This window comes from Homo sapiens, chromosome 9 (genome assembly GCF_000001405.40).
Source record: "Homo sapiens chromosome 9, GRCh38.p14 Primary Assembly".
NCBI lineage: Eukaryota > Metazoa > Chordata > Mammalia > Primates > Hominidae > Homo > Homo sapiens.
Window position 1 is genome coordinate 17303853 of NC_000009.12, and position 23515 is coordinate 17327367.

At 34.0% G+C, this 23515-nt stretch overlaps 1 protein-coding gene across 15 annotated transcripts in view, besides 1 other annotated feature; it reads left to right on the forward strand.

Moving 5' to 3' along the window:
• Nucleotides 1–23515, forward strand: part of CNTLN (centlein) — a 393595-nt gene that overhangs the window by 168813 nt on the left and 201267 nt on the right. For 13 of the 15 annotated variants that reach the window (XR_007061321.1, XR_007061322.1, XR_929282.3 and 10 more), the window contains exon 8: nucleotides 5206–5400. The exons of the other annotated variants lie outside the window; for them this stretch is intronic. Coding sequence is in view for 10 of the 13 variants with exons in the window: in XM_017014839.2 (XP_016870328.1) it covers nucleotides 5206–5400 (195 nt within the window). In the remaining 3 variants the exon portion in view is untranslated. The remainder of the gene's footprint in view (nucleotides 1–5205; nucleotides 5401–23515) is intronic. 15 annotated transcript variants of the gene reach the window in all.
• Nucleotides 18350–20521: an enhancer, noted in NCBI's record as "VISTA enhancer hs529". NCBI's record gives its function as "enhancer in: hindbrain (rhombencephalon)[5/8]" and the evidence as "EXISTENCE:transgenic organism evidence [ECO:0001131][PMID:17130149]".

The following is a 23515-nucleotide window of genomic DNA, read 5'->3' on the forward strand; positions in this document are numbered from 1 at the left end:
GCTCTAAGACTCAGGTGAGTTGAATTAAAAGTATTACACTAACAATTTGTCTTCAATTCTTATTAAACTTCTTTAAGAATCAGATCTTAGTTTACTGTTTCTAATGAAGTTTGTTTCCTCTGTTCTCTTTCTCTCAATTCTTCACCCCTTTTTCTTGCCCTTACATTACCCATTCTTTCTCTCATTTATTAAGTAGATCTGTATCATAATATCTGTTTAATTATCTGAAAAGATGAAAACAGTTGTCCCAGGTGGTAGGATGTGGGAATTGAGGAGGGGAGACAAAGGTGAAGAAAGAAAACTGAAAAAAGTTTTGAGCACAGAGGTGAGTCATATTGTCCCAGAGCTCTCCGTAACAAATCATCAGTCTCATATACAAGTCTACCAGTCATATAGTGTGGAAGGCTTTTCTAGGAGAAAAACACCTATCAAGATAAATAAAAGTAATCTAATGTGTTCTCTTCCTCTGAGCATGTAGCCGTTCATACAATTTTTAATATTTTTATATCTGCACCTTTATATATGTGTATGAATTAAATATTGATAAGGAATTATATCAGCATTTATGATTTCTAGACCATCCAACATGGTTGGGGTACTAACATGTATTTTATAACTTTTTGGTCTATTTAGTGACAATATTACTCAAACTATTAACTAGGAAAATAAGGAGTTAGCATATTAAATTACATGTTAAATTAGTGTTGTCATTTTTGGCTATAAATAGTACAGTTTTCACTTGAAGAATTTATTGTTTCAGTCAGTGTTGCAAATACAGTTGGCACTCTGTATCCATAGGGCATATCCCCATTCACAGATTCAACCAACCTTGAATTGAAAATATTTGGGAAAAAAATGAAAAATAGCAATACAACAATAAAAATTAATAAGAAAAAGTATAACAACTATTTACATAGTGTTTACATTGTAAACACTGGGTAGATTCCATCTCATTCTTATAAGTAATCCGGAGATGGTTTAAAGTATACAGGAGGATGTACATAGGTTATAAGCAAATACTGTGCCATTTTATACAAGGGACTTGTGCATTTGCAGATTTTTTTTATTCACTTGGGTCCTGGAAACAATATTGTGGATAATGAGGGAATGCTGTAGTATATTTACTAGATTTGGATGATTTCAATTCTTAAACAAATTAGTATCAGTGGATAACAGAGCATATACATTTTCAAAATTGTTAAGATATATAAAATATCATTTAGTTCTTTAACACTAATAAAATATTCGAAAAGGCGTTCTTCAGTCTAAGCCCCTGAAAATTAAAGGAGTTGGAGGTTGAGGTCTTATTTCTAACTTGCTTTCTGTCCCCTGGAGATCCTTTTAACCTTTTTCACTTAATTTCTTCAACAGAAAATAGCATGAAGAATAGTAAGGATAGTATATTGCTTATGAATTATAATGATTGATACTTCTAAAGCATATAATGTAATACGTGGTTACATTTTTATAGGCCAGAATCTTACAAAAAAATTCTTATCCATTCGAGCTTTTTGGATTATTAGAGGAAAGAAGTTATAGAGAAAAGAGCCTCTCTGAAAACTGTTGTAAGGAATCTTATTGCTAATAGGGAAAAAGATAACTCAGTATGCCTAAAGCAATGCAGATGAATGAATTTATCATATTGCCTAATTTACTCACTTGAGCACTGTTTTTTTTTTTTTAAACTCTACTCTTATTAATGGAATGAGAATAAGATGGAATCTACCCAGGGCACTGGAACATCCTAAGCTTTTGCCTTCTTGCAGGATCTCCTAGAGAATTAAACATTTGATTACCCTGAGGTCTTGTCACCAAAAAACACTTTAGAAATAAAGCTAGATTTAACCTTGTTGAAGGCTGTTTTAACCAAGTTTACTGCTGGACTGAGGCCTAGAGTTAAAAATGGCTGGAGGACTATCTTTGCTTCCTGTACTCTAAGTTCACAACTGAGTGATCTCATTACTATTAAATACATGAAATCCAGTCAGCCAACAAAGAAAACAGGCAAGTAGGAGATGTATATTTGGAGTAAGCTAAGGAATAAGATAAGAATTTTTCCCAAAACCTAGAGCAAAGCTGACCTAATTTGTTCTGGGCTTTCTCAGTTCTTTTTCACCTGCTGCTTGGAAGGATGGATATTCAGTGCAAGACATAGAGTTTTTCCCAGTGTAGTCTTACACACCTAGTCATATCACATCAAGTCAGGGCAACTTCTGAATAGGAATGCAACTGCTTAAACTGCATGTCAGAGAGAGCAAAGTAGAGAACACAAGAAGGGTGCTATTAGTCGTCTATTTTTTTTTTTTTTTTTTTTTGAGTTTGAGTCTTGCCCTGTTGTCCTGGCTGGAGTGCAATGGCACGATCTCATCTCATTGCAACCTCTGCCTCCTGGGTTCAAGTGATTCTCCTGCCTCAGCCTCCCGAGTAGCTGGGATTACAGGCGTGTGCCACCATGCCCAGCTAATTTTGTATTTTTAGTAGAGACAGGGTTTCTCCATGTTGGTGAGGCTGGTCTTGAACTCCCGTCGTCAGGTGATCCGCCAGCCTCGGTCTCCCAAAGTGCTGGGATTACGGATGTGAGCCAACGTGCCTGACCAGTGCTCTATTTTATGAAGCAAGGCAGAAGTTAGATGAGAGGAGATAAATTAAGATAGAGCCTTCTTCCATGAATGAATCGGCCTAAAGCCTTATATTTGTGGAAGAAGGTCCCAAGATGTGACACCCAAGAGTAGGGTATACCACATCCTTGGCACTAGTGGCCAGTAAATTGGTCCTCGATCCTGACCATACCCTAGCATCATGCCTGTACCTTGGTCATTAGGATAGAAGGTATGTAGTTTTCTTTGTCAGCACTTATCAGTGTCCATGAGATTCTCAAATATTTGAAATATGTGAATTCTTTAATAATATGTTCTATTATTTACCTCAGAGGGATTAATTTGTACTGATTGGGTAAATATTGGTTAGTGTAAATAATGCACCCGAGATTAGAAAGTGGTTAAATATTCATTGAAAAAATGACTATGCAGTGAAGAGAAGACCGTCACTCATCATAGCTTCAACTTTCCCTAGCCAGGTTAGCTCTTGTGTCCAGGGTTTGCTTTTTTCTTTTCTACCCTAAACCCAGTTATGAGAGCAGCAGCACAGTACAAGTAGGCACGCTGAACTCTTCATTGTCCCTTTAAGCTGTCAGGTTCCTACTCTTTCTTGCCTCCTAGAATATTTGATGGTATCAGCTGTGGAAATGACATTGGACATGCTCCTTGGTATAAAGGTAATGAGAAGGGAAAGTATAAATTGATGTTCTAAATTTTTTTATAAATCATATAGGCAATACTTTCTTTTAAAAGATTGCCTAGACTTTGGCAATAAAGTGAAGTGGATTATTTTAAATATCTCCACAATAATATCGATAGATAATTTTATTTTTTTTTAAGACAGTGTCTCCCCATGTCACCCAGACTGGAGTGCAGTGGCACAATCTCGGCTCACTGCAGCCTCGACCTCCTGGGCTCAAGTGTTCCTCCCACCTCACCCTTCCAAGTAGCTGGGACTACAGGTGCATGCTACCACGCCTGGGTAATTTTTTGTATTTTTGGTAGAGACGGGGATTCGTCATATTGCCCAGGCTGGTCTCGAACTCCTGAGCTCAGGTGATCTGCCCATCTCGGCCTCCCAAAGTGCTGGGATTACAGGCGTGAGCCACCTTCCCAGCCAGAGATACATTTTTTTTTAAAATAAAAGATAAAAGGTATATTGAGCTAATTATATGCCAGTGGAGTGGAACTTTGGAGGGTCTTATTTTTGTGACAAAATTATGTTTCAGGAGATGTATTAATGAAAGGTTTTACAAGCCTTTTTAAATTTTAAATTTAAAAAACGGAGGTAAACATGCATACAGAAATGTACACAAATCCTAGGTTTCTAGATGAACTAAAGCTTTACAATCTTTTATGTATGTAAGTTTCTTCCCATGAGGCAAGGCAAACTGATGGAAGATGTTCGTATCTTTAAGTAAATGAGCAAACCTAAAAACTTACCGTAGCTGTATATAATTTTGAGATTTTTACATTTGAGGGTTTTGCTCTTATTGTAAGATTTTACTGTTAGCCTTTAAAACCACACACACACACACACACACACACACACACACACACACACACACATTTTCGTTCTTAGGTCACTTTTCTAGTGTCAGCCACAGATATACATACAGATTATGTATGTAAATCAACTACCAGAGATTGGATTATATCTCATTAAATCACAATTATACATTAGGATCAAGTTCACAAGTTCTGGAGGCATACCATTGTTAACCTTATATTACTGTCTGTATGATAGCACTTATATGTCATGTTATCTCATAGTTTTAATAAACTTAAATTTATTTAATGCATATTGCCTTGACTTAAAAAGGTTTTAAAGTTATTAATAAGTCTTCAAAATATTGCTTCTATTTTTTCACAGTTTAAGGTTTTCAGTAACTCCCTGTTGTCTGCAGAACAAATCCATCCTCTTAATCCAGTATTGAAGAGCCTTTACATTCTTTCTACAGCCTTACTGCTTGACTTTGTCTCTTACTATTCCTCTGTTCCTCCTAGCAGTAGATACTAAATTATACTTAATAAGAATGTAGAATTCAACATTAATTAACTGTTAATGAAATACTCCTGATTTTGTTTTCTTTCAAATGTATATGTTAAGTCCGATTAAACTGATATACCTTGTGCTCCTTTCTGTCCTTTCCTATCGTTGTACATAATTTTTTTTCACATTTCTTCTATCTTTAGAATGACTTTTTGTTTTTGGTCAATTCCAATTATATTGTCATGGTTCATTTCAGGTCCTTTTTCATAATTCCCTCCATGATTAATACAGCTAGCTTAAAGTATTTTCTTCCTCAGAAATTTGGCATTCTTTTCCTATATTACACTGGCTAATAATACATATTGCCTTTTTAACATATTTTCTAGTTTTTATCACATTTTAAATGTTAAAAAATTAAATATTAAACATATTATTATATAAATTAGTTATTTTTTGTGTTTATATCTTCTTTCTCTCTGAGACTATTAAAATAACCTGAGGGCAAGAACTGTGTTTATACAGTTCATATGTATATATACACACACACACACACAGACACACAGACACATAGTTTTATTGATTATTAATATAATTTGGATATATTTTTTGAAACAGCTTTACAATGAGTTACATATTTGTTTTGAAACCACAAAATCAAATGAAGCTATGCTCCGGCAAAGTGTTACTAATCTTCAGGATCAGCTATTACAAAAAGAGCAAGAAAATGCTAAGTTAAAAGAAAAACTTCAGGAATCACAGGGAGCACCTCTTCCTTTACCTCAAGAAAGTGATCCAGACTACTCAGCACAGGTGAGAGACATTTTCTAAAACTGTTATTCAGTGTAATATTAAATGAAATCATCTCCTACAATTGACTAAAACATAAAAATTTAAATATATTTGCATTTATTGGAGTATAAGAAGTGTGCAGATTGTTTTGCATTATACTGTTTTTATACTGTTTGTAGGCATGAATATTACATACAATACAAATTTATATAGAAGTGCATGTAGAAGTACAGGGTCTAGCAAATATAGTTATCGTGATGAAACATTTGGCTGATATACATTATTGAAAAGCAAATTAATAGGTCATGCCCATTTTGAGACTTTTTAACTGAATGAGCTAATGGAATAGAAAGTATCTAACTAAGTTTCATAAAGTACTTGCCATAATGCCTGGTATTCGGTACTCAGTATCCAATAGTCCTAATTCTACCACTACCTTGATAACATGATTTTGGACAGGTCATGTAACCTTTCTTACTATTTCCTGTGGTAAATGAAGGTAGTATAAATGTATAGATAAATATGTAGGATCTGGTTGCAGAGCTTAGCATATAGAAAATGTTAAGTGGTACCTTTTTAGATAATCTTCAGGGCAACTTTCAACTCTAAACATCTTTAAAAAAATCTCTGTGAATTTATTTAAGTGTTTTTAAGGCTCTCATAGCTTTTCTTTAAATTTTATAATGTATTAATTCAGTAATGGATTGTAATTTTTGAACGCAGCACATTTGTCTTGCTAATTAACCTTATGACAACAATTTTTAAAATTGTACCATATTGTATGCATTTTTTGGACTTCAGGCATACAATATTGGATCAATGATAAAATTTGTGTTATGACATACTATTGTATGCATATGACAATTTAATTTAATGGCTTTGTTTAGTTCTTTATTATAATAAACACCCTTGGTTCAACCAACTTATCCAAAGACTAGATCATTACAAATGGCTTACATCCACTTGTATGTGCTTTGATTCTCTTACAAGAGGTAACCACCAAACTTCTTATCATTTTGATTTTTTTAAACAGTTTTATCATATACAAATTTATGAGGAAACAGTTTATTGTTTAGTCATTCAAAAAAATGATATAATGTGTTGTTTATGGGGTTAGGCAATTTTGACTCATCATTATGTTACTAAGATTTATCCGTGTTTTTTGATATAGGTGTTTGTTTTCACTGTTTAAAAACATTCTATTATATGTGAGTATATCATAACTATTTTTACATGTATCTCTAGATGAGAACTTTGGTTATTTCCATTTTTACTGTTATGGGTAATATTACTGTTGACATTTTCGCACATGTTTCTTGACGTACACGTTCATGCATCTTTGTGGGTTATATATCTAGGAGTAGAAATCCTGGACTATAAAGTGTGAAAATGTTACTTTTAGGTGATACTGATCACCTGTTTTTCAAAGTGGTTTTATCAGTTTTACTACCACCAACAATATAAAAGAGATCTGGTTGTTTCCTGTCCTACTCAACACTTGGTGTTGTCAGACTTCTTAATTCATTACCAATTGAATGAGTATAAAATAATATTTTATTTTGTTTTTTATGTGCATATCACTGACTAGCCAGTATGTGTCTTCTTTTGTGAACTATCTGTTTATGTCTTTTTTGTTCAATCTTCTATTGGATTTTTTCTTACTGATTTTCAAAAGCTCTTTATATATTCTTAATATTAATCCCTAGTAAGTTAATATATGGCAGATATCTCACTGTGTACTTGTCTTTTCTTTTGATTTTCTTCAAGGTGTCATTTGATGAACAGAAATTAAATTACTTCTTTTTTTTTTGAGACAGAGTTTTGCTTTTGTTGTCCAGGCTGGAGTGCAATGGTGCGATCTCAGCTCATTGGAACCTCTACCTCCTGGGTTCAAGCAATTCTCCTGCCTCAGCCTCCCGAGTAGCTGGGATTATAGGCGCCTGCCACCACACCTGGCTAATCTTTTTATTTTTAGTATAGACGGGGTTTCACCATGTTGGTCAAGCTGGTCCTGAACTCCTGACCTCAGGTGATCCACCCGCCGTGGCCTTCCAAAGTGCTGGGATTACAGGCATGAGCCACCGTGCCTGGCCACCTCTTAATTTTAATTTAGGCGGATTAATCATTTATAGTTATTGGTTTGGTATTTCATTTAAGAAATCTTTCTGTTCCCCCAAAGACAGAAAGATTCCCAATCAAAATCCCAGGAGGGTTTTTCTGTTTTTTTTTTTTTTTTAAGGCAGAAGATCCCAATCAAACTCCCAGGAGGCTTTTTCTGTTATTTTAAGAAATTGACGGCTGGGTGCGGTGGCTCACGCCTGTAATCCCAGCACTTTGAGAGGCCGAGGCGGGCGAATCATGAGGTCAAGAGTTAGAGACCATCCGGGCCAACCTGGTGAAAGCCCTTCCTCTACTAGAAATACAAAAATTAGCTGGGCATGGTGGCGCGTGCCTGTAGTCCCATCTACTCGGGAGGCTGAGGCAGGAGAATTGCTCCAACGTGGGAGGCGGAGGTTGCAGTGAGCCAAGATTGCGCCACTGCTCTCCAGCCTGGCAACAGAGAGACTCCATATCAAGAAGAAAAAAGAAAAAAAAGAAATTGACAAATCAATTCTGAAATTTGTAGGGAAATGCAAAGAACCTAGAAGAGCAAAATCAAGTTTCATAAAGAAGAAGTTGGAGGACTTACACTCCCTGATTTAAGACTTATTTATTGAGCTAAAATATCAAGACAGTATGGTGTTAGTATAATAATTGACAAAATAGTCAATAGAACAAAGTCCAGATTATATGCCTGTTCATATATGTAGCTTTATAGTAACTTTTGAAATGAGGGTAATGTAAGTTACTTTATTCTTTTTCAAGAATATTCTGTATGTTCTTGCTCCTTTGCTTTTTTGTAGTAATTTTACTATGAGCTCCTCAATTTCTACAAATAAGCATTCGTTTAGAAATGTTTCTGATTTTCCTTTGGATTTTCTATTTGCTGAGTTTAAGTGTCTTGTTTACTTTTGAAATATTTTTGTGTATGTGTGTTTCCTGTTTTATTGTTACTGACTTCTAATCTACTTCCATTGTGGTCACAGGTAGTACTCGATAAGATTACTGTATTTATATATATATATATATATATTATATATATATATATATATAATTTATTTATTTATTTTTTTGATACAGAGTCTCACTCTGTCGCCCAGGCTGGAGTGCAGTGGCGCGATCTCGGCTCACTGCAAGCTCCGCCTCCTGGGCTCACGCCATTCTCCTGCCTCAGCCTCCTGAGTAGCTGGGACTACAGGTGCCCGCCACCAAGCCCGGCTAATTTTTTTTTTTTTTTTTTTTTTTGTATTTTTAGTAGAGACAAGGTTTCACCGTGTTAGCCAGGACAATCTCGATCTCCTGGCCTCGTTATCCACCCACCTCCGCCTCCCAAAGTGCTGGGATTACAGGCGTGAGCCACCACGCCAGCCTGTATTTTGATATTTATTGAGACTTGTCATAAAGCCAAGCATATTGTTTTGGTGAAAGTACTATATGTACCTGAGAATAATTTGTATTTTGCAACTACTGGGCAGAGTGCTCCTTAAATATCAATATTAGTTATGTCATTGCACTTGATAGTATTCAGATCTTTTATGTCTTTAATGATTGTGTTTAGTTTTTCTATCAATTGCTTTAGAAAGGAGTGTTAAAATCTCTCACATAATTGTAGATTTTTGTTTCTCCTTTGAGTTTTCTCAATTTTTGCTTCATGGGTTTTAAAGCTGTTTTATTAGTTGTATGCATATTTATGATTGTTATGTCTTTCTGATAAATGGAACCCTTTCTCATTATAAAATGTCATTTTTAACTATAATATTTTGTTGGCTTGAAATGTACCTTTATGATGTCAGTATAGCCAATTCTTCCCTTTAATGGTTATATTTTGCATAGTATAACTTTCTCATTCTTTTAATTTCAGCACATAGGTTACTGTATATTTAAAGCGTATATATTCGGATCCTGTTGTTTATAATCCATTCTGACAATTTCTTCCTTTTCATTGCAGTGTTAATCCATTGAATTGTAACATAATTATAATATGATTGGGTTTAGGTGTACCATATTATCATTTGTTTTCTGTTCATCCTGTTTTTCGTTTCTCTGCCTCTCTTTTTCTTCCTTCCTTTTGGATTAATTAACTGGCTTTTTTTTTAATCTAAAAGTTTTACTCTTCTATCCTCTAGACCCACAGTTTCTGATGGTAATTCAGTGGAACTCATTTCATTATTCACTTAAACGTAATGTGTCAGTTTTGTCCGGCTTTCCTTTTTTCCCCAAGATTTTAACTTTTGACTCTTAGCATTTAAACTATGATGTTCCCAAGCTTGATTTTCATTATAGTAATCCATCTTGTGGTTTGCTGAGCTTCTTGATTTTCATAATTTTTAAACCAAATTGGAAAAAAATTTTGATGTTATTTTCGCAAATATTTTTGTTTCCTGTTCTTTCTTTTCTCCTTTTGAGATTACCATTTCCCTTATGTTAGATTTTTCAGTGTTGGTCCACAGATTAGTAAAGCTCTGTAAATTTTTATTTTTTTTGATACAGAGTCTCTCTGTGTTGCCCAGGCTGGAGTGCAGTGGCATGATCTCTGCTCACTGCAATCTCTGCCTCCTGGGTTCAAGTGATTCACCTGCCTCAGCCTTCCAAGTGGCATTCAGCACATGCCCGGCTGGTCTCAAACTCCTGACCTTAGGTGATCTGCCTGCCTTGGCCTCCTGAAGTGCTAGGATTACAGGCGTGAGCCACTGTGCCCGGCCAGCTCTGTTAATTATTTAAAAATTGTTTTATATCTATATTATTCAGATTAGATAGTTTCTATTACTTTATATTCAGTTTAACTGAAATTTCTGTTATGCCCAACTTGCTCTTAAGTCTTTTATGTGAATTATTCTGCAAATATAAGTCCTTGTTATAGTAGTTAAAATAGCTCCTTTAAAATCCGTATTTTCCTTCTCTATTGGGTCTTCTTTGGTTTGATCACTATTGTTTTCCCTTTTCTTTTGAATATGGGTCATACATTGTTTCTTCTAACTTGGAATTATATGGTGTATATTGTAAAATATATGTTATAGAGACTCTGGTTTCTGTTGTATTACTCATGGAAGTGTTGAAATAAATATATGAATCAGAATTTTAATTAGGTCAGATTTAAATTCCAAGCCCTGCGTCCCAACAGGTGGGTGGCAGTGAATTGCTTTTCGGTTATCTTAACCTTATTCAGATTGCTTAGAGGTCTGCTTAGTGCATGAACAGTTCATTTATGAGTTCATAGTTTTGACTCTCTCTTTTCTGGAACTTTTCCCCTCAATTTGTAGCTGCAGAGGTATGACTGAACTTCCAAAGTTTCTGTTGGAATTTTAGTCTCCTAACGTTATTTCTGTTGTGGGCCTTGCTAAGGTAAAAATTCATCAGAATGGGTAACTTAGCCAATGCTGTTCCATTTTCCAACTATCAGTTCTTATCTAGATTCTGCCTACATTTGATCATTCTCTGTTACCTTCAGGTAGTTGTTTATAATTTGCTTGGAGTTTAAATGGTCGTGTGTGGTAGATTTATTCTGATAGGATCTACTCTGTCATTATTGTAAATGGAACTTCCCAATCTTTGACTTTTTAAAGACTATTTTAACTGATTTTTTAAATCATTTTCTATACAATGCAGTGAACTTAATAGACTATAACTTGTTGATCTTATCACCAATTATTGTTATTGTCTTGCATTTTAATTATACATCTATTTTACCCCATAAAATATTATTGTTGTAAAAAATCAATTTCATTTAGAATTTTTACACTTTTTAATCCCTTTATTCTTTTGTGCAATTCTGTATTTCCCACTAGGATCTTTTGCCTTTTGCCTTAAGCACTCCTTTTAGTATTTATTTTATTGGGCATCATCTCACAGTGAATTCTCTCATTTTGTATTTTTTGGATAATGTCTTTCTTTTGCCTTTATTTCTGAACAGTATTTTTTAGATGGATAGAACTGTTGATTTGCACCATCTTTTCTGTCTTTATTTTAAAGATGATATATGTTGTTTTTTGTATTTTGTATTGAGAAGGCATGTCTCTTATTGTTGCAACTTTAACAGTAGTGTGTCCTTTTTGTGTTTACTTTTTATAGCTTCTCTTTATTTTTGGTTTCTAGCAGTTTTTATATGATTTCAATGTGGTAGTGTTTCTCCTTTTCCTGGTTTTTCAGTTTTTAAAGCTTTTGTCAGCCATGGCCTGTGGCTTTGGTTTTCTTCATTCTTAGAAAATTTGTGGTAAAAATGTCTTCAAATATGACTTCTGCACATTCTTTCTCTCCTGTCCTTGTGAGATTCCAATTACACACATATTAGACCTTTTCACTGTATTCCATATATATTTTGAGCTCTTTTTTGTATCTTCAAAGATTTTTTTCTGTTTGCTTGAACCTTGATGTTTCCTTGAGTTCACACATTCTCTTTTCTGTTGTGGTTACTCTGATGTTTTACCCATCTATATTGAATTCTTGAATAGAATATGTATCCTACTTTTGTGGGTAGAATATTCTATAAATGTCATTTAGGTCAAGTTTCTTGATATTGTTGTTTAGGTCTTTATCTGTATAGATTTTCTCTACCTATTCTATCAATTACTAAGAGAGATGTTGAATTTTTCCAACCATACTTGTAGGTTTGTCTATTTCTCCTTTCTGTTCTATTCTGTTTTTTCAGGTCTGATTGGCTTGTAATGTTCTTCCAGTCTTCTGTTTCCATGCTGATCTTCTGTCTAGTTTTTTTCCCCATCATTATTGTTTAATTGTCTTTTTTTCTCTTTAATTCTATCAGGTTTTGCTTCATGTATTTTGGGGTTCTTTTGTTAAGTGCATGTATTTTTATAATTGTTATCTCTTTTTGATGAATCGATTCTTTTATCATTATAAAATGTCCTTTACCTTTAGTGGCAATTTTTGTCTTAAAGTCTATTTTGTCTGATATTAATATAGCCACCACAGCTTCCTTTTGGTAACTGTTTGCATGTTGTATCGTTTTCCATACTTTTACATTCAATATATGTGCCTTTTAATCTAAAACGTTTCTCTTGTAGACACCATATAGTTGAATTATGATTTTAAAATTTATTCTGTCTTAAATTCCACCTATAATTTGAGGGCTTAATGTATGCTCTTTAACTTAGGATGGGGCTATGTCCTGATAAACCTATTGTAAGTTGAAAATATTGCAAGTTGAAAGTGCATTTTTGACATAATATTTTCAGCTTATAATTGGTTTATCTGGTTTTAGCCATATCATAAGTCAAGGAGTGTACTGAATGCATATTGCTTTCACACCATTGTAAAGTTGAAAAATCATAAGGTAAACCATTTTAAGTCAAGGGCTGTCTGTATTGGTAAGGTAAGATATAAATCTGCAATTTTGCTATTTTTAATATGTGTTATGTCTGTTTTGTTCCTCTTTTCCTCTATTACTGCCTTTTTTTGTAATATTTTCTAGTGTGATATTTTAATCCCTTTGTTTTTCTTTTACTATATATTTTTCAGTTATTTCCTTAGTGCTTACCCTGGGGGGGATTATAACTAACAATTTACAGCAATCTCATAGAAATTCATGTGAACTTAATGTCAATACATAACATTGTTCCTGTGTACGTTTGTTTCTCCCCCTGCCCTTTATGCTTTTATTGTCACAAATTACATCTTTATATATTGTATGCCCATCAGTACAGATTTATAATTTTTTAAATGCAATTGTCTTAAACCAGACAGAAGAAAAAAGTGTTTTTTTTTTTTCTTAATGTTGAGAAGATATCATGTCGTTATCATTGGGTTTGCATAATTTTTGGTGAGAAATCTGATGTAATTTTATTATTGTTCCTTTGTATATGTCATACATATGTGGAGTTTGAAAATCGTGTGAATGAATAATAGATGGATACTGTTTAGCATGTTTCTCTGAATAAGAATCTTTGTGTAGCTAGTGAGGTGACCTCAAAATACGTACATTTTATGGACAGTTTAAATAATGGCTCTCATGTTATATGGAAGATACAGACAGGTAAATAGATAAATAGAAAATTTGAAAGTATATTTTTCTGTAAAATTTATAGTAAAATGCAGGAATCATACTGTTAACTACAACTCTCCATCAATTAATATATCTAAATATATATTCCACAAATATTTATTGATATTCTACTATGTGTTAGGTGCTATTCTTGGTGATGAAGAGCTGTTAGGGAACAAAACAAGGCCTTTGTGCTCATGGAGCATACATTCAGGTCAGAGGGTTACCATCTGATAAGCACATGACACACGGTAATAAGTGCTATGGAGAAAAATAATACAGCATGAGATGGAGCATGATGGAGAGTGATAGGGCTTTTTTGTGTATGGTGGCAGAAGAAATCATTCTGATTAGGTGACATTAGAAAAGAAATATAGAAGAAGTGAATCATTTAGATATCTGATGAAGAGCATTCTAAACAGAGAGAACAAATGCAAAGCTCATGAAGCAGGAGCTTGCCTAGTAAGGAGGCGAGTGTGGCTAGATTGAGAGCTATGGGGAGAGGAGTGAAACATGATCTCAGAGAGGTAAATGTGGGACAGGTCTCCTTGGGCCTTGTTAAGTTACTATAAGGATATAGATTTTACTCTGAGTGAAATGGAAAGCCGTTGGTGTGTTTTTTGTAGAAGAGCAACATGGAACCTATTGGGGTGACTTATTCAGAAGAGTGGTGAGATCTAACTGAATTTTTTTTTTCTTTTCTTTTTTTTTTTTTTTTTGAGAAGGAGTCTCACTCTGTCGCCCAGGCTGGAGTCCAGTGGCATAATCTCAGCTCACTGCAAGCTCCGCCTCCCAGGTTCACGCTATTCTCCTGCCTCAGCCTGCTGAGTAGCTGGGACTACAGGCGCCCACCACCACGCCCGGCTAATTTTTTTTGTATTTTTAGTAGAGATGGGGTTTCACCGTGTTAGCCAAGATGGTCTCGGTTTCCTGACCTCGTGATCCGCCTGCCTCGGCCTCCCAAAGTGCTGGGATTACAGGCGTGAGCCACCGCGCCGGGCCCTAACTGAATATTTTTAAAAGATCACTCTGGATGCATTGCAGAAAACAGAATATAGGAAGGCAAGGAAGAGAGGAGGGAGACAAATTTAACAGGCAATTGTAATAGTGCAGGCAGAACTCAGTGGGTACTTAGACTATGTTATAAAAAGGAGTTAGAGCCTGTAAATAATTCAAAGTTAGAATGCATAAACTTTGATATTGACTTATATGTGAAATATGAGAAGAAAGGAGGAATTAAAAATGAATTCATGCTTTTCAGATCTAACCACCTGGACAAATGAATTTGCTATTTTTTGAGGCAAGAAAGATTATTCTCACAGCTCTCCTAGCAGTAGGAGGACTCTGAAGTTAGATAGAGGAGAGATGTGGAAGCCCAGAATTAGGGAAGTAGTAATGAAGAGAAATGTGTGACTTAACATTTCTGCCCATTAGTAACATATACTTTATCATGTCAATACTCTCTTTTTAGTATTCAGTCCAACTAGACTCACCTCTTCATCCATCCTTTATTCCATCCATCCATCCATCCATCCATCCATCCATCCATCCATTAAACCTTCATTTATTCAGTTATGTAGGCAATATTTATTAAAATCCCATTGTATTTTTACAGGGGATACGAAACTGAACAACACCATTTATGTTTCTATGAATCTTATAGATAGGAATGCAGATAGAAAATAGTTACAAAATGTGTTGTAATTGAAGTATGAAACAAATAGGAACCTGTGGAAAGAAGCTTTTCAAGGAGCATGTTTATGGAGAGGAAGGGATTACCAAAGCTTTCACAGAGAAAACAACGTATGTCATTTTGTTAAGGGCTTTCTGGTTTCTTGTCAGAAGCGCACTGGCATAGGCCCAGAGGTGAGAAAGTTTGTGGTGTATCCTAGAGAGTGAGGATAGTCTGGCTAAGTACTTCTTGTAATCTACATCCAAGCATCCTAGGGTGGGAGTAGTTATTATCCTAATTCAGTACGTCTGGGCTGGGGCCTGAGATTCTGCATTTCTGTCATGTTCCAGGTCAGGCTGATGGAGCTGGTCTAGCGATCATACTTTAATGATTAATAGGAGACTAAGTGGAAAGTGAAATATACAGTCGAGGGGAAATGGTAGAAAGGTTTTATTTCATTTTTTTCTATCTGTAAATTTGTAAATACTTCTAGTGGGACTTTTTTGTGCAGGATTTTGGGGGTGTTATTTACAGAGTAATGGATAAAAACATAGATTCTAGAGTCTGAATGCATGGATTTGGAACATAGACTTGATCACTTAATTGTGTGACCTTGGGCAAGTTACTTCTCTGTCAACTCAGTTTCAACATTTATAAAATGGGTATTATAATAGTACTTACCTCATTAGAGTTTCATTAAGATTACACAAGACAATGAATGGTGGGCATTTAGAGTAATAAATGTTAGCTCTTAATTTATTATACAGGGAAGAGACTTGTTAGTAAATTGAGATTTTTTTTTTCTTATATTGGTGGGGATTTATCTTTCCTTTCTCCTATCTCAACTTGTAATCCAAATTATTGGTGAGCTGACAGTCTTTGCCATAGAAAAGGGCAAAGCTAATTGGTTCATAGGGGATTGAAACCTGTGACCCTTGATTTCTAAGCACCCTGCTCTTCACTAGCTGAATTCTGAATGACTGCCTATTCTTATCTCAAAGCGATTGTTTATCTTTTTCATGCAGAAATAATGTTTTTTGCCTTGGAGGAATATCTTGCAGTAGAGGACAAGAGAGAAAGCCAGGGTTTACTATATTTATCTGTGAATGAGATACATGCCATGTGGCTAATGGCAAGACCACAAGATGAGTTGCAAATTTTAACCAGTCTTGTTGATTTTTATTTCTTTTCATAGTTACTCTCTCTTCCTTGCTTTCCTCAATTGAAGAGAATTTTCTTTAGCTGTTTTCCCTTATGTTCTTACTCTCTTTTTATAATTTTTATTACAAAATATTTGCAACCTCTAGAAGAATAAATGTAATGTCTGTATACTCACCAGCAACTGTCACAAATAATCTTGATTATATCTATGTACTCTTTCCTGATTCCATCTTTCTTTTTTTTTCCATGAAGATAACTACCATGTTGGATTTTTTGTTTATGAATTCCTGCCTCTTAAAACTATGTTTTCTTAAATAATATATTCCAATGCCTTTTGTTTGTTTGTTTGTTTGTTTTTTTGAGATGGAGTTTCACTCTTGTAGCCCAGGCTGCAGTGCAATGACGTGATCTTGGTGCACTGCAACCTCCGCCTCCTGGGTTCAAGTGATTCTCCTGCCTCAGCCTCCCAGGTAGCTGGGATTACAGGCACGAGCCTCCACACCTGGCTAGTTTTTGTATTTTTAGTAGACACGGGGTTTCACAACGTTGGCCAGGCTGGTCTCGAACTCCTGATCTCAGGTGATCCACCCACCTCAGCCTCCCAAAGCGCTGGGATTACAGGCACAAGCCACCGTGTCTGGCCTCATTTATATATATTTATTCTGATCCCTGATTGTTTCCTCAGGATGAATTATTAACACTAGAATTACTTTGTCAAAGATTATGAACCTAAGGCTTTTGAATATATATTCCCTGCCAAACTGCATTCCAGCAGGATTATACCAAGTTATCTTCTCACAGTATGTGAGATTGCCCACATTTTGTATTCTTGCAATTATTTATTATAATTTAAAAACAGCCTTTTGTTTTTCAAAACAAATTTATTCCTTTATTATCTCTTTGGAAACTAGTGAGGTTTTTCACTTTCACTTTTATGTAGTTTTCTTTTGTAAATATTCTGTCAGCTTGTATTTTTATCTTGTTTGCTTACAGATACATATGACCCTTTAAATATATGTTAGGGAATGAGTGCTATACAATATTCGTCACAGTATATTATTTGCCCACTTTGTTAATACTTTCTAGACCTTGTAGATTCAGTTCCAAGATAATTGAGACCTTTTTTTGAAGACTTTTTCTTAAGATTGAGCTCCACGTACCTCTTTCTGCATTAGCAGATGTTAAACTTAATTGTTTTCCTTGTGTATCTCCATCTCTGGACTCTGAGCTCCTTGAGGGCAAGGAGAGTTGATGCCTTATCCTTTTCTCCCCACTGCCTTCTCCAGTGATTGACAGTCTTAAGTTCAATAAATGCTTTTTGAATGAACACATGAAAATCCTTGACATAACAATTGTAGGAAGTAGGAAGTAAGAGCAGTAAAGAATTAACATTTGGAAGGGTATATCTAATTGTGACGTGGAGAAAAAATGTCAGTAGTAGTTAGCTTTATTTTCTTGCCAGAGGGTCTGATATTGATAGTGACTATTTGGCATTAACTAAAGTACAGTATTCTGGTTTTTCAGGTGGTAGGGAGAAGATCTGATTGTAGTACCTTTACTTGGGCTCAGAATGCTGGTAACTTTTGTCATACTTTAGTTGCAAAATATTATGCCAGAGTTAATAATTGGTTTGCTTTTGTTTGGTTTTTATGATTTTTACTTTATTATTGTTTCTATTCCATTTTTTTCTCATTTTCAGCATGGAAGAATATCAATCTTATACTTTCTCTAGGTATCTTACTGTACAGGATCAAAATAACTTTCAATATATTAGGTCAAGGTGCCACAAAGATAGTACTTTTATATTATGCTTATCATCGTATTTTTATACTTAATTAGTTTCGAGTTTATATGTGTAAACTTAATTTGAAAAGTTGACTTGATTTATTCTTCAGCATTATTGTAAATGAAAACTGCCTTGTAATTTGTTGCTTGATTTAATTATATTCAGTAATTTATATTTTTAATTCAGTTGTATATGTAGATATGACCACACAAATATATGGGAAATGATTTTTGGATAGTTTGATATTTAATCAATTTTCAGGAGAGAACAACTTAGCAGTAAAATATAATGTTATGATATGATTTTTAGCCTTAATAAATGAAAGACATTTTTATTTAAAAGAAAAATTTGAAGTCTTTATCTTTTGTAAGTCTTAACTATAAACTTTTTTTCTAAAGGCCATTGTGTATTATATTCACAAAATTTGAACTTGTTATCATTCAACTCCACTATCCTGCATGAAAAATAAACCATTTCTGCTATAAAAAGAAGGCTGCCAATAGATATTCTGATATTTCAAGCTTACTTTAAGTTCCAAGCAGAATGAAACAGCCCAAGATATTAAAATCTAGAAATTTAGCATATCTAATGGAAACTGCAACTCAACTTTAACTACTCTATAGTGGCACTTCTCTTGCCGCTGTAATAAAACTTAAGAATGTTTAGTGATTTTTTTTTTCCTACTATTATTCAAAATTACATTACCCTTACTGAAATCTGAATGGCTTTTAGTGGATTAATTAAACTGTAGCTGGTTTGCCATCTGGGTGCAGCTTGTTTAGCTGCCTTTCCACAGAAAAATTTCTCATGGAGTAAAGAGTATTTTTTGTTAGAATACAGCTGCTAGGCTTTACTTTCTAAAAAAACAAATAGTTTATGCTTTCATACATGAAATTTGTGATGAAAATTAATTTGTAAAATATAAAACCTATGATTGCCTTTTAAAATAATACAACACAAGCTTTTTTATATTCTTTATGAATTTGTAAAAAATGTATGCCTTGATAACTTGTAATATTAAATAGAATCCTAGGTTTAGGCTAAATATGAAAAAATGGGTAAGAGGGAATTAACTAAATCTGATTTTTATGGCTCAAGTGGTTTCATTAAATTAGAGTGCTCTGTGTTGTTCATTAATGAACTTATGCCATATGCTTTAACTGTTCTGGTCAATAGCTGATAAAGGCTTGTGGATTTGCTTTTTTTTCATATAAAGCTGGATAAAAATATCCATGTGATGGGCTTTTATCAAAGGAGTTACTCTGAATTCAGTAACTACTACTGAGGCAATATGGCTCGCAATTTGCAACCCAAAGGTAGTCATACATTATTGGAATACAGCCTACTGCGCTTCACATTACACAGATGTGAAGGCCTGATTATAGCTGCTTCATAATTAACAGTGATCCGATTTGTTTTGTGGCATAAATGGTGCATGTGTAGAACATTAGCCATGGCACTCTCATTCAAATTCAACTCAAGGGCTCAGCGGCAGGCGGGTCACGAGCTTCAGGGAGTAGAAGCACAAGCTCCTCCATATGTTCTTGCTGCATCTTACTATGGCTATGTGTGCAAGATAAGTTCCCCAAAGAACCTAATCGTGTTCTGTAATTACAGCGCGGCTTTCTGCTGGCTAGAAATGAGGGAGAAGCTAAAACACTCCCTCATCAGATAATTTGTAAATTACTTTACATGGCGGATGCCTAACTCAGTTGGTTTTCAACTGCTGAAATTATAAATAATTGTAACAGATGTGGCAATATGGCTGGTCTCCAATAAATGAGGCCCTTGATAATTTGGCCAACCCTTTGACAGGCCAATTTAATAAAATGTGAACAAAATCTTCTTGCTAATAATTTATCATCCTTTTTCCCAGTAGAATAAATTTAATTACCCTAGCAGTTAACAAGGTCACACCCAGATGCCAAACTCGGCTACAGTTTTGATAATGCAATCAGGAATTGAGAGGTGATGACAGCGTTGTTGTTTTTTTCATTACCTGGCTTCACATAAACACAGGTGGCGTAGCTTTCTTGTCAGTTTTTAATAATTACAGGCTATTATGGAATGCATAGTTAGCAGATTGAAAACCACACTTTAGTGAATTCGAGTATGATTGAGGTTTTAATGTATAGAGATGATAATGTATAACAAGCATAGTCCCTTGCTTATACCATTAATGCACAAATTTTGGTTGTTTTACTGGTGACATAAGTGTTTATAAAACTTAGAGTATGTATTATAGTAAGTAATGGCTTATACCCCGAAGTCACATATTTAGAGATACACCACAAAAAAGTTTAATTCCATGAATTTTAGAAATTCATTTTAGGATGCCACTAACAGAAACATTTTAAATAACCAGATTTGCAAATTCTGGCAGAATGTGAGGCTTATAACATATTTTGGAAAAATCTGAATGTGTTTTATTTTGCTATTTAAGATAAAAAGAAATTTATAGAAAAATCAGTCTTTTCATTCTAGCTTTTAAGCACTGTCAGGATTAGTTTACTCTTAGGATTGGAATCTATAGGTAATTTGTAAATTGTGGAGTTATTCTAAACCCTCTTGTGTGACATGTAAATATTACTAATTTTTGTCAGTACAGTGTGATATTTACATGTCATAGAATAAATACTTAGCTTGTGGTTGCTCAATTTTGTACCAAAGATGCTACTGTCATTTACTGGATGTATGTATATACCCATAATTGTCATCTACTGGATATAAGTATAATTGGGTTGTAACCCACTCGGTGTTAAGTTTTATTTGGTATATGGAAGAAGTTAAAGTTTTGGAATTAATTTTCTTCCATTTTATTTTGCTGTTAACAACTTGACTGTACCATGTAAGTATTTAGATACTAAAGGAAAGCTAAATTTGACTGACTTGTTTATTACTGAATTTTGCTATAATGTGATAGTGTTATAAGCGGAGATGGTGATAGTTTATTTTTTACTCAAATGTAGTCAATAATTTAATTTTATTTTGTGAATTACAAATGCTACCTGAAAATATTTGGTTAAAAGTGAGTAGATGGAAGAAATGCAAATATTTATATTTTTAAAAGGAGTGCTAGATGAATTTGTTGATATTAGACATTTTATTACTCAATATAGTGGTCTTTCTAAAAATGAAGTATAAATTTAAACTAGTACCCTTAGTTTTATTTGTGAATTTTTATTATAACACTATTTTGATTTACAATATTATGTTAAATTGATATTCTTTTTCTTTTTCTTTTTTTTACAAGAATATATGACTATTATTAAAGTCATTTATTTTCAGGATATAGATGATTCAGCTAACAATGTTTACTTTATTAATTGGTAATAGACATATTGCTGCATTTCTGAAATCAATTTTAAATATAAAGTTAATCTCTGAATATGGGCATTTCATGAGAAGAAAAGTGTGTGTGCATGTGTATGTATGTGTGTGTGTGTGTGTGTGTGTGTGTGTGTGTGTATGTATACACAGACAATTATATACTCTGTTGTATTCCCAGAGGGTTTGAATTAGTTTTCAGAGAACCGTCATTCAAGTAGTTAGTTTTTCTGATATATACGTGTATGTTAGATATGTTATATACACATGTAACAGATTTTATTACACACACACACACACACACGCACACACACACTTGACCCGTACTTGATTTTCAGTGATATATTGTTTTAAGAAAAAGTATTTCTTTTGCTGAGGTATCATGTGCTTTTAGAAATGTTTTTGTTTTGCTATAGGCTTTGTTATGTGTTGACAGGTTTGGAATTCGTAAATTTCTTAAAACAAGTGAGATAATGTATGCAAAATGCTTAGCCAGAGGTAGGAACTAAACACTTTTTTGCTAAATGCTAATTATTATCATCATTGCAATGTAGTAGGAAAAAATATTTAATTATAATTTGCTAATAAAACAATTTAAGTTACAATTTTTGTAATTATTATAGCTGTGAAACAATTTTCTATGTATTAGGCAATATTCAGTCGGCCCCCACTGTAATAATGCCCTACAATATTTCTTGGATTTAATGCAACATGACTATATATTTAAGTTGTATAATTTAAAAAATAGTAATTTGTATAACACCTAAAGGCCCTTCCCCCATGCCTTCTATTCTATTTAATATATATCTTCTACAGAACTTTTCAATTAAAATTAGCTCTGTGAGTCAGTGTGAAAAATAAAGTTATGTGTTAACAATGGCAATTTAAAAAGATTATTTCCACCTGGGAGCCTTTAGCCGTGTAGTCAGTCCACGAATCATTTTTCTTCAGATTAATTATAGTATAGCACTATACCATTGTATTTCAAGAATGTAAACTAAAAGGGAGCAAAATATTTTTAATATTAGAGAAAAAAATTTATTTATAAAATGTGAATAATTGTTAGGAAGGAAAGTTAACTTTTCAAAGATTCTAGGATTTTAAGGGTAATAGAATGAACTTCCACAGAGAGGGGATTGGTTAACTTGATTTTGCTATACATGTAAAGCAGCCCTTAAAAAGGTTAAAGATATGTAAGGATATATGGAGATCTATGATGATATACATGTATATCATATATTTTATTACTTATACATATAATAGTTATATGTGTATATGTTTGAGATTATTAAGTTTTTAAAAAGCAAGTAAAAAAGTACAGTATGGCTGGGGAGAAAAGAGTAGCTTTACAAGTGGAGTAATCTGACAAAACTCTACTTCAGCCAGGTGATCAAACTGAATATCAACAGTCATAAATCATGTTGATAGCATATACCCTTGATATGATGTGATGAAAATGGCACTTTACCTCTATGATCTTCCTTCTCAAAACTCATAACCCCAGTCTAATCATGAGAAAAACATCAGACAAATCCCAAAGGAGGGGCATCCTACAGAAAACTGTCAAGGTCATGAAAGACAAGGAAGGTCTGAGAAAACAGCCAAAAGGAGCTCTAGGAGATATAGGAACTAAATGTAATGTATCCTAGATGGGATCCTGAAACAGAAAAAGGACCTTAGGAAAAAACTAAGGAAATATGAATAGACTATGTCCTTCAGTTACTAATAATGTATGAATATTGGTTCAGTAATTGTAACAAATGTACCATACTAATTTAAGATGTTAATAATAGGGGAAACTGAGTGGGTGGGGGTAGGAGGTCAGGGAGAACTCTGCATAGTATCTGCTTAGTTTTTCTTTACATAAAAAAACTGTTGTAAAAAATAAAGTCTATTAATTTTTAAAAAGTATGTTAAATGACAAAAATATAGTAGTTAACCTTTTTTTTTTTTTTTTTTGAGATGGAGTCTCACTCTTGCCCAGGCTGGAGGGCAGTGGCGCAATCTTGGGTCGCTGCAAACTCCGCCTCCCAGGTTCACGGCCATCCTCCTGCCTCAGCCTCCCGAGTAGCTGGGACTACAGGCGTCTGCCACA